An 18,510-nucleotide genomic window follows, 5' to 3' on the forward strand; every position below is an offset into this window, starting at 1 on the left:
CTGAATTTCTGCAAAAATGAGTGCACATTATTTTACCTTGAGCCTTATTCTTTTTGTTAAAAATGCAGATAATGCTACAAGGGCTGTTTTAAGGTCTAAGTGAAAACAATTTAAGGAAATCAGCCCAGTGGCAGCCACATAACTCATTAAATAGAAGCTGTTATTATTTTATTAACCTTTGCCTAAAACACAATCATCTCACTTTCACAGGCAAACTCCTGTTTATTCATCCAATCTTATTTTAGGGCTGTAATACATTTTCTTTAAAAGGCAAATTAAATCTGAAAAATAAAGAAAATTTCTATAAAAATAACATTAAAATTGTTCATAGATTAGTTAGATGTAAGTAAGGAGTAAAGGGCAATGTAGAAATACATATCTGAAGAAATAGCCTGGAATTCATCCCAGAGAAACAAAAAGATGGAAAATATACAAGAGGTTAACAGACATAGAAGATAGAATTCATCTTAACATACATCTAATTGAACTTATAAAATAAAAGATTAGACAGTGTGAGGAAGAAGTGATATTTGAAGAGATAATAGCTAGAACTTCTCCAGAATTTCAGGCACCAGCAATAGGACTCTGGAAGCACAAGAAATCTAAGTAGGGAAAGGATGGCCTAATTTAATTAATATATTTCCCTTACATTGTAACAATAAAATAAAATAAATAAAATAACTATTTTCTTTTAAATTGCACAAATCCTACTACTGTCTCTTAGAAAAATATCAGTCTTTCTATGCAGTAGTATCACATTTTGGCTTTAATTTCAGTCTTTCCTGATACCTAATAATGCCACATGCTTTTCATATACTTATCAGCATTTAGATAACCTCTTCTGTGGAGTGCCTCTTTAGATTTTTGCCTAATTTTTTAATGTTTTTTACATTGATTTGTATGCATCTGTAATATTCTAAATGAGTCTTTTTAAATATATATATACACATACACACATATATACATATACTGTAAATGTCTTCTTCCACTTACATTTTTTTCTCTCTGGTTTACGTTAACAGGAGTTTCAATGATAATTAAATTCAATGTATCAATCTTTCCTTTGTAACTAATGCTTTTTGTATTCTATTTAAAAAGATTTGCCTCCACCACGGTTATAAGATATTCTAAATTTTCCACATTTTTTCCTGGTAGCATTATAATTTTTAATCATTTAAATTTAGCAGTACAATCCACTGAATTATTATTTGTGTAAGGTGTGAGATAAAATTTCACTTTTTTCCTAATGGATACCACTCAGTCTTGATTACTCCTGTAGGTTTAAGATAATTCTTGATATCTACTACTACAAACCTTCCAGTTTGATCTTGTTCAGGATTGTCTTGGCTATTCTTAGACATTTGCTTTTTCATATGAAAATCGAGTCAGCTTATCAATTTAAATAAAACAATAGCAACAACAAGAAATCTGCTAGGATTTTGACTGGGATTATGATGAATTAATAGATCATTTTGAGAATTGATATCTTTACAAAATCAAGTCATCTGATTGGTGAACATAAAATATCCCTCCATTGAGTTTTGTGTTCCTTAATTTCTCAAATATGTTAAAATGTAAGAGATCTTCAAGAACATTATGCATAATTTGTTACATTTATTTCAAGATATTTTATGGATTTGATGCTATTATATTAGAACAGCATTGTAGTCATCTTTCACTTTATTTTCCAAAGTTTTGCTCTTGATTTCTAAAGCAGTTATGTTTCATTTGACATTTTATGCAGAAAACTTGCTAGTCACTCAGTTGTAGCAATTTTCCTCTATAGATTGTTTTGAATTTTTTAAGTAGATAATCATATCATTTGTGAATAACGTGTTTTATTTCTTACTTCTCTATTTGCATATTTATGATTTCTTTTTCTCATTTTACTGCACTGGATGGAAAACCCACTATGGTGTGTGATAGAACTGGTGATCGCAAACATCCTTATTTTGTTTTGATTAGCAGGGGGAAAACCTTTAATTTCCTCCATTAAGTATGATGTTTGCTAATGGTTTTTGCAGATGTTTTATCAGATTAAGTAAGTTTCTATTCTTGTGATGAATTATATCAAATGTATCTACTATGATGAATATAGTTTCCTTTTATTCTGGCTAATTACATCAATTTGTATGTATTTTAATTTTTTGAGCTTGCATTTCTGAAATTAAACCAACCTGACTGCATTTTATCTTTCATACGTACTAGCAGACTTAATCTGCTAATATTTTGTTTAGACCTATGCCTCTAGGTTTACAAGAAGTTTATATATATATATATATATATATATATATATATATATATATATATAGTTGTTGCTCTACTTAAGTTTTGGTATTACAGTAATTCTAACCCCATATAATGAGAGAATATTACCTCTTTTTCTATTCTCTGGAAAATTTGATGTAAGATTGGTGCTAATTTTTTCTTAAATGTTTGAAATAATTCACCAGTGAAACCATCTGGCTAAAATTGAGGGAGGGGAATAGAATTACAATTATAAATTTAAAATTTTAATTTTATTAAAATGTTTTAGTTTATTGGAAAATCTTTTTATTTGCTTATTATCTATAGAATCTGTAGTGATGATCCCTTTTTATTTCTGATATTGATATTTTGTACCTTCTCTGTTTTTTCTTAATATATTTTCATAAGCATTCATAATTTTTATTGTATTTTATTGATAATAATATTTTGACTTTTCCTGTTGTACTACTTGATTTCTAAATAAATAGCTTTGGCTCTTTCATTTATTTCTCTTCCTTCTACTTTCCTTGGGTTTAATTTTATGAATTAAAAAATATTGACTTCTTAGCTATCTTTTATTCCGCCTTTTTTCTTTTCTGATGAATGTTTCTAAAAGCATATAAATTTTATCATACATTTGTTCATTAGATCTCCAAAATCCCACTTTTTTCTTTGACTTATAGAATACTTAGAAATGTATTACTTACATTTACCATAGCATCTAGAATTGTTCCTAACATAGTAATTAATTAATATAGACTTGTTTTGTAATTAAATGTATCACTTGACAAAAGATATGTCTTGATAATAAATATTTTCAGTTGAAAGAGAAAAGAGATCAGTTTCAATGTTAGTGGTTTTCCAGGAAAAGGAGATTTTAGGTATAGCCAATGATATATGAGGAAAGACAAAGGAGTGGGAAAGACTTAGATGTTCCTAGAGGAAGTGTAGTTTGAGCAGAGGATTTCCAGAGAGGAGATAAGGGATAGTCTAAAAATAGAGAATAGGACCAAATGCAGAAACCTTTGAAAGCCAAATTAGAGCTACACTTTACAATGTACGCTATAAGAGGCTAGTAAGATGTGTAGTGCCTGAGTCTATTCTATGAATGTTCTGTCTCAAATCAACATGGAAATGAAACACTGACAATTTGTAACTATAATAGAGCCACACAGGTAGGTATTCTTATTCATAATTCTTTTATTCAGAATAATCATTATAAGTATGTTTAGGAAATACATATTTTTTAGTTATTTTAATTGAATCCCCTGAAGGGTAAATGTCTCAGAAAACAACTGAAGTGTGACTTACATATAAAGACCAAGTTTTCTTTTCAACGATGGGTTCATAATTTCTGGCACACATATTAAATAGAGAAGGCTAGTCCCTTAAAGTGCTATGTTTTTTGTTGCTCAGAAAAGGTCACTGGAAATGCTGATTATCTATACAGAAAAGATAACATTTCACATAAAATGTTGATCCTTTCTTTTCTGGTTCTAATGTAAAATTCATCAATTCTAATTCTATGAAGAGCAAACATTAGAAATAAACAGCTCATCTAAGTAAGTGAATTTTTTAACTTCTTGGAGTCAAAAGAAGACCGTCATCAGTTTCTCTTTCTATACCACAAGATATCTGGAATATCCTTTAGTGCTGAGTGAAGAAATTCTCTTTTTTCTACTTTTGTAGAAGCGTATTTTAGAAAAAAAAATAGATTCTTATTTCACTACTTCAGAAATCAAAACTAATGTAAAGGAGACAAAGCAGCTAACACACTTGGTATGTAATGCCCAGATTAGGGCTATTCTTTAGCTAAACTGGGAGCTGGGACGTTGATTTTATGTTTTAGGCTTTTATTTCACTATTCTTCCCTACAATTTTCCTTCAGCACCCAATTCTCCAATACAATTGACATCCCTCCCTTTTTTCTCCGTATCACCCATGGGGGCTCTGATGTATGCCCTTTATTAGCAGTATTAGCAGGTACTTTTTTTTTTTTATGGAGTTTTGCATTTGTCGCCCAGGCTGGAGTGTAATGGTGCAATCTTGGCTCACTGCAACCTCTGCCTTCTGGGTTCAAGCGATTCTCCTGCCTTAGCCTCCCGAGTAGCTGGGATTACAGGCACCCGCCACCATGCCTGGCTAATTTTTTTGTATTGTTTTGTTTTGTTTGTTTTAGTAGAGACAGGGTTTCACCATGTTGGTCAGGCTGGTCTCGAACTCCTGACCTCAGGTGATTCACCTGCCTCGGCCTCCCAAAGCACTGGGATTACAGGCGTGAGCCACCGCGCCCAGCCTAGTAGGTACGTTTAAATGGAGAAGTGAGACTTACCTGGAGGAGAAGTATGCTAGAATAGTGGTGAGGAAGTGAGGAGTGGTAAGAAAATATTGTGCCGTTTGAAGTGTCCCTCATATGACACATATTACTTCGGAGAGGTAGACCTACAGCCATAGCATGATAAACTATTATTTCCAAAGATAGAATGCTATTATTTCCAAAAATATAAGATACTGCCAGAAATATAAGAACTGTCCATGATCTATTCAGATTTTACAGGTACTGCCCCGAGAGGTCATTGACTGAAACATTGGAATAAATCACTAATTATGAAAGAAAAAATATTGCATCAGTTTAGTCTCCAGATACATATTATGGTGGAAAGTGGAAACAGAGGTTTCTCGTCAATTCTCAGGTGATGCTAACTACTTAATCTGTTCACAAGGCTATCACTTCCTGCTCCAATCTTCCTACAGTCTTCTAACATAGTCGGAATTATGAACATAGCATTATAGGATTGTTGTAGCATAGAAAACAAGGCATGTCTAAAGATGAAGTTGGAAAAGGATATAGGAGCCAGTTCTTGGGGCACTCTATATGCCATTTTAACAAGCTTGGATTTTTATCTTATGGAAAACAGGGGAACAGAATATTAAATTTTAAGTGGCTTATTCAGTTTTGTGGTCTTACTAAATTATTGTGGCCATTGGGATGTTCTACTAGATGAATATTAGTGGAATAAAAATAAAAACATGAGGGCAGCATGAGGTTATTTCAGTGGTTCTGGTAGAAGACAATGAAGGCTTGAATTAGTATGGCAGTAATGGCTACAAATAAGAGAAAATATGCTCAAGAAACAGAAACAGTAAGTTGGAAAGAGAAAATGAGGACTTTAGGTTAAGAAAGATTGAATGTGAAGGGGATTTGTTTGTTTGTTTGTTTGTTTGTTTGAGACAGAGCCTCGCTCTGTCGCCCAGGCTGGAGTGCAGTGGCCGGATCTCGGCTCACCGCAAGCTCCGCCTCCTGGGTTCACGCCATTCTCCTGCCTCAGCCTCCCGAGTAGCTGGGATTACAGGCACCTGCCACCACGCCTGGCTAATTTTTCGTATTTTTAGTAGAGACGGGATTTCACCGTGTTAGCCAGGATGGTCTCGATCTCCTGACCTCATGATCCACCCATCTCGGCCTCCCAAAGTGCTGGGATTACAGGCATGAGCCACTGCGCCTGGCCGTGAAGGGGAATTTTTTTTTAATTTATTTTTTATTATTTTAAGTTCCGGGGTACAAGTGCAGGAAGCGCAGGTTTGTTACATAGGTAAACGTGTGCCATGGTGGTTTGCTGTACCTTATCAACCTATCACCTAGGTATTAAGCCCAGCATGCATTAGCTATTGTGAAGCTGAATTTGAAGATATTTATTGGGCAGTTGAACATACAAGCCTGAAATTCATTAAAAAATTCTGAGATGGGGACACAGGATTGAAAAAACTTCATGATATAGGGCAGAGTTTCAACTTTGAGAGCAGATATATCTCAAAAGGAAATGGTACAGAATGAGAAGTTCAGAGGATTAATAATGAATTATGAGGAACACCAACAATCACGAGGCAACAGATGAAAGAAAAAACACAAAGAAGCCAGAAATAAAGGCCAGTCATATGGAGAGAACCAGGGGACTATATTGTCATGGTAGCCCAACAACAGAGAAGTTTGGAGAAGAGACAAAGTGATAAATGCAACTGAGAAATCTAGTAACATAAGGATGGAAGCATTCTGTTGGCTTAGCAATGATGATGTCATCAGCATTGGCTGGAGCTTCAGTGGCATGGTAGGGACAGGAGCTTAGTCTTTGTGGAAGGCCAGAGGCAGTGCTAGGATTCCAGCATTCAGAAAGCTGGCTGACATGGGAAGGAGATAAAGTGGTAGAGAGACAGAGAGAAAGAGAGAGAGAGAGACGGAGAGAGAGAGAGAGAGAGAGACAGGGAGAGAGAGAGAGGTGTAAATCAAGGAAAAGAAGTAATTTTAATCAGAGAAAAAACATTTCCAAGATGAGGAACAATGCCAGTAACAAGAAAGAGGAGGACGCCACAAAATGGTATGGATGACTGATTTGAAGGAAAAACTGGAGAAACTGGTCCTGAAGAGAAGGAGAAACACTACCTCTGAGATTAAAAGATAGATGGATATGTGCCACATTTTCTTTATCCAGTCTATCATTGATGGGCATTTGGGTTGGTTCCAAGTCTTTGCTATTGTGAATAGTGCCGCAATAAACATACGTGTGCATGTGTCTTTATAGTAGAATGATTTATAATCCTTTAGGTATATATACCCAGTAATAGGATTGCCGTGTCAAACAGTATTTCTGGTTCTAGATCCTTGAGGAATTGCCACACTGTCTTCCACAATGGTTGAACACCATAGAATACTATGCAGCCATAAAAAAACGATGAGTTCATGTCCTTTGCAGGGACATGGATGAAAGTGGAAACCATCATTCTCAGCAAACTAACACAAGAACAGAAAACCAACATTGCATGTTCTCACACATAAGTGGGAGTGGAACAATGAGAACAGGGAGGGGAACATCACACACTGGGGCCTGTCGGTGGGTGGGGGGCAAAGGGAGGGATAGCATTAGGAGAAATACCTAATGTAGATGATGGGTTGATGGGTTCAGCAAACCACCATGGCATGTGTATACCCATGTAACAAAACACGTTTTGCACATGTACCCCAGAACTTAAAGTATAATAAAAAAAAAGAGAGAGAGAGAGATGGATATGGGTTAAATAAAAACACCAGCTACTATACTATTTTTTATTCCCAGCCAACTATCTTCATCATCATTTCTCATATACTTCACTCCCTCTTTCCTCATTCAATTTGTCACCCTTTAGGGTTTTTGGATGTCACTCCCCTGAAAATTCTGTATTGAAAATTATTAATATATTATGTACCTGACAAATCCCATGACCATCACCTTCCTATTGGAAGTTTTTTTTTCTGCAGTTACTGAAGTTATTTTAGTCTGCTTTTATCTTTGATTTTCCTTGTTCTTTCCCCAAACAAATGCAAATGTAAATGTTACCTTATCTCATCATGACCAGACAAGCTCAATTACCTCCATGCAAAGGGCACCAATGTATACATCTCCAGCCTATCATTGTCTGGAGCTCTAGTTTTATTTCTAGAACCACCTATGTGATGCTACCTTCATGTGCTACTAGCACTTTGACTTAAATTTATGTAAAATTAATCTTGCCTTTTCTCTCCAAAGTCTTTAGCTTTTCTTTTTCATTGTTATTAAGAATATTAACAATATTCTTCTGGCAGCCAGTCTGAAGAACGCTATTGTCATTAAATTATTTTTCTTTTCTTCCCTCCCAAAGCTTATCATCAGTTGTGAAATTCCACTGAATATACTTCTTTATTAGTGCTAACATAATCTCTCTCTCTTCCAATCTCATAACTAATGCCCTAGTCCAGGTCCTAACACTTTTCACTACATTGTTGAGAATCTTTCTAATCTGCCTATTTCAAAATTTTCCTTTATTAGTTACTCTCCCTAAAGCATATGTTTGAGTGTTATTTATATACTTACAATTTTTCATCACCTCCCTAATTGCCCATGGAATAAAGTCCAATTTTAAAACAAGGCCTTTTATGGCATTATTAGCCCAGTTTATATTAATTCCTACAATGGTCTTGAGATAATTACTGTTCCTCATATACATACTACAAATTTGTATCACTTTGCCTTGCTCTGAAATCTATGCCCAGGATATTTTTTTCTAACTCATTTACATAGCAAAACCCCATCTCTTATTTAAGGCTTAACTCTAAAGTCATCTTCTGCCGTAAACATTGTCTTTTCCCCAGGTAAGATTAATTTTCAAACTTCCGTAGAACTTTACCTGTATTTATATCTCTACCCTGATGGCTTTCAACCTTGAAATATGGTAATACAAAAAACTTTCATTGACAGTAAAACTTCAGGCCAGCTTAGTGACTTAATAAAGTTTCACCTATTTTTAGTATTTTAAATTGCTCAAGAACAATATTAACATTTAAAATTTTTCTCGATTTTTCATATAATATATAATCCACAAATATATGGTGAGTAAATATGAAAATGATTAGAAAACTGCAAGGTGAAAATCAGATATAAATTAGCAAGCTGCTATCATATTAATGACTAAATACTATGTATCTCCAAATAAAATATGACTTAAAAGTAGGCTTAAGATAAGACAATTTATGCTGCAGATAAATTGACACATTACAGTGAACACCTTAAAATGTTAAATTATTATTCATCTTCAAAAACTTTAAAACAATTACAAAATTAGTAATTTCCACTTAACATTGCACACAGTTCCTAGTTTAAGCCTCAATTTAGAACAATTTTGTAATATCTTAAAAACAAAAAAAAATACTTGCTTATTCTACTCACATGTGAAAGGCTAGAGGTGGACCAGTTGTAAAGTATGCTAAGTATTGTGGAATTTGGGGATTGGGTAGTAAATACATGATGAGAACAATATATTTTTTCATGCACGGCTGATTGTCAGTGAGAGGTAGGAGATGAACAAGTTACTTGACAAATGAGAAAAGTATCCTTTGATTTTTGTTTGTAATTTGTCAAATTGGTAAAACCCTTCATGAGTTTCAAAACAGCTATGGTTGCTTTGAAAAGGACACTTATTTCTGTTCGTGCTGTAGTTGCAAATAAACTCAATATGTAGAATTATATTTAAATTGAGAATTGGGGTATGAGATCTATGACCAACTAGAAGCAAAGTAGTTGATGTCAATAATGCATGCGAATAGATAGATAATTTATTTCCTTTCACTTCCCTCTAAGCCTGACAAGCAAGTCTACGTAACCCCAACCAAAATGTTTGGCCATACTCTATAAACTCAGTGACCATTCTTAGTTGAGGACTCTGGTGAGTTCACTAATTGATGGTTCAATTTCAATTCTGTCTATGTGCTAACTCCAATTTGTCCTGATTCAACCCCATACTATGTGAGCTTATATTTCTACCCTAAATACTGTTCAATCAAGCCTAGCCTGAAGTTGCCTCCTTACATATTTTGAGTTTGGCGTAGAGGTTTCTCTGTACATAGTGAACCCAAATGGAGGTAGAAACAGGCTGTAATCTACTCTTGTGCTAATTACCAAATTTTGGCCAACCAAAGGGAACCAGCTGTTCAAACTGTGTCCAAAAGAGGCAAAGGTCAAGCTGTAACCAATCTAGCTGTTTCTGTATCTCACTTTCTTTTTCTGTATGTCATGTTCCTTGTTCTGTCCATAAATCCTTCCACCACGAGGCTTTGCTGAAGTTTCTCTGAGCCTACTCTGGCTCAGGAAGCTGCCCAATTCATGAATCATTTTTTGCTCAGTTAAACTGTGTTAAATATAATTTGGCCAAGGTTTTCTTCTAACAATATCCAGGCTCCCATTGATGCAGAGCGCAGAGTCTATGGATCAGCTACCAGGAGTTCAACCTTTGCTTCTTAACTGTGTCTCAAGACTGTCTTCCACAAACATGGATTCACTAAGGCTCTGTATATAAAATCTAATTCCAGTCGGGCGTGGTGGCTCACGCCTGTAATTCCAACACTTTGAGAGGCTGAGGCGGGCAGATCACAACGTCAAGAGATTGAGACCACCCTGGCCAACATGGTGAAACCCTGTCTGTACTAAAAATACAAAAATTAGCTGGGCGTGATGGTGCGTGCCTGTAGTCCCAGCTACTCAGGAAGCTGAGGCAAGAGAATTGCTTGAGAATTGCTTGAACCTGGGAGGCGGAGGTTGCAGTGAGCCGAGATCGTGCCACTGCACTCCAGCCTGGTGACAGAGAAAGACTGTCTCAAAAAATTAAAAAATAATAAAAATAAAATCTCACTCCAAAAGAAACCTATCTTCTGCTATTTGGACATCTTGTTGCTTTTAGCTTTGTCTAATTTTTGAACATAAGTTGGCCACACTTTTGTCCTTTCAACATAAATCAGTGCCTTGGCCTTAAGTCCACTTACTGGGCCCATGAACTCTGTATCTATGTCTATGTTAGTGATTTTCTCTGACACTATATTAAGACTCAGTTTTTTCTTGTTAATACAATTACTCATTTTGAAGCAAACAAGTTTAACCCACATTTCACTTAATACTAATGAGCAATGTCAATTCCAGAATATGACACCGCATTAACAATAACTTCTGATAAATGAATTACTCTGCCATTTATAGTACAAATGATGTCAATGAAAGATGTATCATGATCACCTAGCTAAAAACTGACATCACAAATATTAGATTATAAGAAAAAGAAATGACTAGGAAATAGATTTTAGCCCTATCTACTGTAAATTCAGAATAATAGAGCTGTATTTGAAAGAGAGCATCTATTAATTTCAATAACTTAATTGCTTCTAATTATTGCCTGCAAATACAGTTCATATTTTTCTTAAAGAATTCACTAATTTTTGTTGCTTTCCCTTAGAGATATATGTATATATAAAATAATCAATAAATTAATTTATAGAGTAGCTAACATTAATTTATACTGTATCAATAAACATAAATTTATATTAGATATTAAGTTACATTCCTGTATTCATTTATATTCATATGTATACATTGTTTGGGATTGAGTATGTGAATATGTGTCATATATATTTTCTATCTACCTACAATCCTGTTATATGTTTTCTTTATAAAGCATGTGCAATAAATTAGTCTTTTAGGAGAAGTGGTTTTAGTGGAGTATGTGTGTAAGGGTATGTGTGCAGGTTTGCGTGTGTGTATGCATCAGTGTATGTTGAGGATAGGCTTATTAAATTGTCTCTTGATATACTTCCAAAGACATTGGCTACATTATTGACTTCATTTCAGACTTCCCAATATATTTCTTAAAGCAAAATGTCTCCAAGTCAGCATCTCACCTAATACATTTCATAATTTTATACTATTCTTGAACAAAGTGAATCTTGTTCATGTGAGTACTTTTAGTTAAAGTTTCATTTGTTCGATTCCTAATCTCTTAAGGCAGTATGTTGCACTAGAATGCTCTCCAGATGATGGGGATCCTATGGAGTTTAAACAGTTACATTTCTATAATTTTTCAAAATTAACTTGCAATTTGACTAGCATAACTAGCTTTAATTTATGGTCCTAAAGGAATAAAACTATAGGCTTTAGAACAGTAATGATAAAATCTTGTGCAAAATAGGTTTGTTTCTATATCAACGAACTAGTAAAATCAATAAATAGAGCTCTTTTCTAAGCACAAAACAATACATTGTTAGAAACCTTAGCAGAAATAACTTATAGTTATGACATCTTTATCTTTAAGCTGCATTTACCTTTTTTAATTGAAACCGCACCAATCTCCTCTTTGGCTCGTTCAGTTTCTGCAAGTTCAGATATTAAAGGAATGAGAAGTGGATATTAGTGATGCCAAATTCACATCTTATACTATTGAGAATAAAATTAAAGATAAAATGTATGTTGCACATGAGAGCAAAGCAAGCTGTAGAGAAAGCCAAAATACAAAGTGCTTATATGATTTTTTCAATTAATAAACTTCCTTAAATAGCAATAAAGAAATTCTCTTCCAAGGTGCAACTCTATTATCTTAAAAATGTAGGTAGTGACCATAAAAGAAGGTGGCCTATTCCATAGACTTTAGATCAATAGTTCTTAAAATTAAGGCCACATTCAATACAATGGGATACTAATTTATTAGTCTACAATTTTTTTTTTTAAACGGAGATTGGCTCTTGTTGCCCAGGCTGGAATGCAGTGGCGCAATCTCGACTCACTGCAACCTCTCCCTCCCAGGTTCAAGCAATTCCCCTGCCCCAGCCTCCCGAGTAGCTGGGACTACAACCGCCCGCCACCATGCCCAGCTAATTTTTGTATTTTTAGTAGAGACGGGGTTTCACCATGTTGGCCAGGCTGGTCTTGAACTCCTGACCTCAGGTGATCCGCCCGCCTCAGCCTCCCAAAGTGCTGGGATTACAGGCATGAGCCACCACGCCCGGCCATAGTCTACAAATTTTAAGTTACATATGAATTATAGAGAAGAGCATTTAAAAGGGCTTCTTTGTTTAGCTTTTAATCATGGTTGAGTCTGCTAAAAGTTGTTTAATACTGATTGCAAGCAAACAATATTTGACCTCAATGAATTAGTTTTACACTGTAAAAGATTAGCTGTAATATCATAGAAAATTTCATTTGAATGTTTCTTCAAGAGAGACAAAGAGAATAAAATGACAAAAAGTGGCCTTTTGGTTTCTCTAAATACTTAGAGTGGAAGACAGGAGAGCTGCCCTGAAGTCATAATCTGAACTGTTGGGGCTAGGACAGAGTATTGGATCACAAATCAAAGCTAGTTAAAGTCAAAGTTTTCTCTAGTCCACAGGAAAATAAAATAATAATAATAATAATAATAAGCTCGTGAATTTTCACGAAGTCTTATTTCCTCATTTTATAACTTTTGATTAGTTGAGGTTGTTCCCCTTGGTCATATATATTCTTATTTTTATTCTTATTGGTATTTGTTTGTATCACCCTTCACCCATATATGCTCAGCACTGATGCTCTGAGAACAACCAAATCAAACAAGGCGAGCCTTTACACCCCTCATCCTCTCTGTGCCACAAAACCCGGCTTTTGAAAGACATCAGACATCAGAAGGAGATCTTCATGTCACTTTCAGGTTTTAATTCCACAATGATAGATGCCCCAAGAGTCACAATTTAAACCCAGGCAAGAAGTGACATACATAACCTCTTCTTCGAGCTATCTCAATACCCTGGGCTTCAAGACTGAACAGACTCCTGGCTGTTTTATACCTTCCAGGTAAAGACTTTAGATCAATGGCTCTTAAACTTAAGCATGCATCAGGTTCACGCTGGAGGGCTATTGAAACAGATGCTGAGCGCAAAAGGTCTGATTCAGTATGTCGGAGGCATATTCTGAGAACCTGCATTTCTAACCAGTTCCCAGGGGATGCTTAGGCTCCTGATTTGGACCGCACTTTGGAAACTGATAACCAAATTTCCCCTATGAATCAGTCAAGACTATTCCTACTGTGAGTCCCCCTCCCTACTTACCTCAGTTACTACCATGAGTTTCAGCCTTCTAGCAGAAAACAGAGTCCATATGGCTCTGTATTTCTCCTAGAAGCTGACATACTTCCAAATCCCTTCCTCTGTGTCCTCTGTCCATCAGCAGCATTCACTCCTGTATCTTCAGCCTCTTCTCAGAATGTTCATTTTACTTTCTTCCTTTAATCAAATCCTAGCTCACTAAGGCCACTGTATCCCCTCCTGATGGTAGTCTTCTAAAATGGAGAATGCTTGTTTTTCCATCCTCCACATACCAAGGTGTATAGAAGTAATGCATATTTATATCCTCTTTGTTTCTCATTACTCTTCATAGATTATCTCCTTGCTTCCTCCAAACCCCAGTTCTTTTGAAGTACATGCTATCAGGTTGCACCACTCTCTACTCCTCTTCATTGTTGTCATCAACCAGTCTTGTGGCCTTTCCTGACATTCATTGACTATTTTTGCACACAGTTATCATCTGCTCTACTACTACTATGAATATTATTAAGAATCATTCTTAACCCTGTCTGCACCTTAGAATAAGCTGGGGAGTTTTTCTAAGCCTATGATATTCAGATATCTGGAGTGGGCAACAGAGCTTTGAGATTCTAAGTTAATGAGTCTGGCGTGAGCCCTGAGTATTGGTATATTTTTAAGATTTCCAGGATACTCTAATATTTTGCCAGGGTTGGGAGTCACTGATATACACAACTCATACAATTACATGATCTCTGACCTCCTTGGCCTCCTCAATTCAGAAAACTAGAAACTCCACTTCTCTGGCAATTTCCAACTATATTTGTACCCTCAGAATTTTCCTTTACTGCCAGAATTTTGATTTTAAAAATTATATTCTTTGGCACCATTTTTTTCTCTTTAGAGCTCACTTACACAAGAACTCCCATTATACGGTATCTGATCCCATTAATACTTCCATTCCTTGTTCTTGCCACTTTCTCATTTTTCAAGATTTTCCTCATATCCTCACTTTACTTCTTACCAAGCTTATGCATAAATGAGCCATAGTTAAATCACTCACGTATTTTCTGTTGTTATAGTCATCTGCTGTATTAATTTCCTAGGACTGCCTTAAAACTATTGGGTAGATAAATACAAAACAAATACATTTTTCCACAGTTCTAGAGGCTGGAAGTCCAAAATTCAGGCATTGGCAGGACCCTAGAAATCTCCCTCTAAAGGATCTTGGGAAGAATCCTTCCTTGCCTCCTCCTAGAGTCTGCTAGTTGCCAGGAACCCTTGGCATTCCTTGGCTTGAAGCTGCGTTGCTGCAATTTCTGCTTTTATGTTCATGTGGCAGTCTTCTGTATGCATCTGTGTGTCCCAAATTTCCTCTTCTTTTAAGGATACCAGTCATCAGATTGAGGGCCCACCCTAATCCAGCATGACCTCATCTTAACTTGAGTATATCTATGAAGACCCTATTTCAAAATCGGTCACATTCATAGGTACCAGGGTAGAGCTTCAACATATCTTTTGGTGGGAGGCACGAATCAACCCACTATGTCTGCCAAAACACCAAATGTACTTTATGCCTACCACCTGAGCAGTCATCGAAGCTGAAGGAAGACCCCCACCCTGCAGCAGACCTCACTTCAAATGTGGATCACATTTATGAGATCACTTAGCACTGGCCAGTAATATTACCACAGACCCAATAAAGTTGCTTTCTCATACTCTTAACAAAAGTTGAAAATATTCTCTTCCCTCCTTAAACATCCTACAACATAAAAGTAAGCTGCTGTTGAGAAATTCATAGAGAAAATAGGGGCAGACTAAATTACATCACTGTTCCACTACCACACCAGCACATACTCATCCATTTTTCTTTCCAGTTCCAAAAGGTGATCAGTTCCTGCCCCTTTTTAGTACCAATCCTTCCATATTTTTTTCTGGATCCCATCTCCTTTTGCCAAGTCAAGGCCTTTGTTCTTGCCAGTATTGCTTCGATCTGCTCCCTCATCAGTTTTCTCCTTCACTGATGCTTTCACAATGTCTCATGTCACTCTTTAGAGACACAGACAACCACATCCTTCAATTCTATATGACATTTTCAGCTACCTCATCTCTCTGCATAGAGCTGCTACACTCAATGTCACCACTTCTATCCTCTCACTCTCTGTTTTTCAAACCTGTTTTATTGTGAAAGATATCATATAAACAGAAGGCATATAACATTTGTGCACATTCTAATGAATAGCAATAAAGAATGTTCACCTTTGTAACCTCCTGCACACCTAAGAAATAGAATATCGCCAAGGCCTTTGAAACTTCTTACTTTTCCTACTAGCACTGCACGCTTCTCTATCTCAAAGTTACAGTTGTTCTATATTTTGTAATAATTATTTCCTTATTTTTCTATATGGGTTTTTATTACATGTATTTGTCTCTAAATAAAGGTAAGATAATTTTATATAAATTAAATTACATTATAATATTTAGTGTTATATAAATTAAACTGTATTATTTAATTTGTGTGATTTTTTGAGATATAACTATGTTGATATGAGTAGCTGTAGTTGATTAACTTTAACTGCTGTCTAGCATTCCAATGTTTGGTCTACAAACTATGGATTTATTCTCCTGCCAGTGGACACTAGGTCACAACCAGTTTTGTGTTTTCTAAATAATTCTGCTATGAACATTCCTGCACATGTGTCTCCTTTTGCACATGTGCAATAATTTTCATAGAAGTGAAATTGCTAGGCATGTACCCTAGATAAATGACACATTTTTCTCCCTAAATTCTGCATTCACATCAGCAGCATACGTGAGAGTTTCTTTTGCTCCGTATCACTACCATCACCAGAATAAGCCTATTCCCTAATTTTGAAAATTTAGTCTCATGTAAAATACTATCTTGTACTTTTAAGTACAATTCCGTTATTACTTAGAGGTTGAACATCTTTTGATACGTTTATAGAACATTTGCATTTTTTCTTTTTTTAATGCAGTCTTATATCTAGTGCCCATTTTTTTTTCTGCCCATTGTCTATCAAGGTCTTTGTCTTTTTTTTTTTTAATTTTTGGAGTTGTTCATCTATTTTTTGCTATTAATCTCTTGCTATTTAAATATATTACAAGTATTTTTACAAGTTTGTGGCTTGTCCATTATCTTTCTTTATTGCATTTATTGATAAATTGAAGATCATAATTTTAATACAATAAAATGTCAGCTATTAAATGTATGACTAGAATTTTGAACATCTAGTTTTTCAAATCCTCCCATATTTCAAGAAACTGTATATTTTCCTAGGTTAAAAGAAACTATGCCATGTTTTGCCTTTAGTATTTAAGTTCTTGAACCATTTGGAACTGATATTTTAGAACTGTATGAAATAAGAATAAATTATATTTTTGTATTGAATACCAGCTATATCAGCAACATTTAAAAATAATCTATCCACACTCTGACTTTCTGAAATGGCTGCTTTTTCTTATGTCAGATTTTTGCTCAAGTGTGATGTATTTTAAGTCTCTTTTTTTCCGTCCTATTGGGAAATTTGTTTATATCTACACCAATACCATTCTACCCTTTATAATACAATATCTGGGGACTGCTTTATTACTAACACTTAGGACACATAGTCCTGATCTCAATAGCCATGCTTTATAGTGCCATGTTGCTGTGTTCATTATGTCACTTTTAAATACTAAAATTTATTTCTGGTTTCCCATTTGAAATCCTGTCCCTTTTTCCCCTACCTCTTCATGTCTTAACTGAACCTAGATTTTACTTCTGTCAGTATTCATCAGTCTAGCTCTTTGTGTCAACCTTGATGAACATTCTTGGACTCTGAACCATGGCATTTTCAGTTTGGGGCTGGCACTCAGGACACCAACCTCATCTTTACACATAGTTTTAAACAAGAAGCATGCCTTACCCTACCACCTAAGGCAGTCCCAGGTCTCTCACATCTTACCTTTCCTGGTACTTAAACCTCATAAAATCATCACTCTAGTGCTGTATGAGTGCTGTTTTGAATATATTCTGGCAGCACCAGCTGTGATACTATTAGTAATTATATAATATATTATACAAAATCGAGCAAGTGAAAAGAGGTGCAAGTAATAATTATTCTGGGACAATATAGTACACCAAGACTGTTCTAACTGACTAAGATCATACATAGATCAACCAAGATTATATTTGGCATGCAGTGTGTGGTCTAGAGACAACTCATTTTATATCAAGCATGCTGGTTCAGGCCTATAGATCTTCCCGGAGACTTCTGCCATTTCCATGCCAGAGTATTTAAACTGAGTCAAAAAAAAAACCATGCAATTTTATTAAGAGCAGTTGTCTCCAAATATTCTTCTAACATACATAGCTGAATAAATTCAATGGGACTTTACTTTTAAATTCTGCATACAGATGTCTCCTAAATGATCTTGACATATATTAGTAGATTAGATGATAGATATCTGACTCACATTTAGGCACTGAAGTGTGGTTAAGGAGATGAATATAGTCAGGCTCGGTGGCTGAACATAACACCCAATCTGTGCAATGCTAAAATCAAGGGGTGAAAAATGCCTGATTATTAGATCCAGAGCTAAAAATGACTATATTTTGGCTTTATCCTGGGCTTTGGTGGCTATTTTCCTCAAAATTCAAACTGACTACTGGCTGGCTGACCATGCATATGGAATACATGATCCCAGCCCTAAGGTCCTTGAGGTGGAATAAAGTGACCTGGGACAGTGCTACCCAAGGTTCTGAAAAATAGTGATCCTTGATGTGATCATTGAAAGAGAAAGGGGTGATGTGGTCACATATATTTGGTAAACAATGTCTACTATATTTCTTCTTGAAGATTCACCATATATACAGTGTTAAAGCC

The 18,510-nt window shown here is 35.3% G+C and overlaps 1 protein-coding gene across 3 annotated transcripts in view, besides 1 other annotated feature; it reads right to left on the reverse strand.

Moving 5' to 3' along the window:
* The window catches only part of TRDN (triadin), a 420,612-nt gene that overhangs the window by 137,900 nt on the left and 264,202 nt on the right, over positions 1-18,510 (reverse strand). For all 3 annotated transcript variants that reach the window (NM_006073.4, NM_001407315.1, NM_001251987.2), the window contains one exon: positions 11,897-11,944. In NM_006073.4, the coding sequence (NP_006064.2) occupies positions 11,897-11,944 (48 nt within the window). The remainder of the gene's footprint in view (positions 1-11,896; positions 11,945-18,510) is intronic.
* Positions 9,713-9,913: a silencer, noted in NCBI's record as "peak6085 fragment used in MPRA reporter construct". NCBI's record gives its function as "represses an SCP1 promoter by STARR-seq MPRAs in K562 erythroleukemia cells {active_cell/tissue: K562}" and the evidence as "EXISTENCE:reporter gene assay evidence [ECO:0000049][PMID:32103011]".

The sequence above is a fragment of the Homo sapiens genome, chromosome 6 (assembly GCF_000001405.40).
Source record: "Homo sapiens chromosome 6, GRCh38.p14 Primary Assembly".
Lineage (NCBI taxonomy): Eukaryota > Metazoa > Chordata > Mammalia > Primates > Hominidae > Homo > Homo sapiens.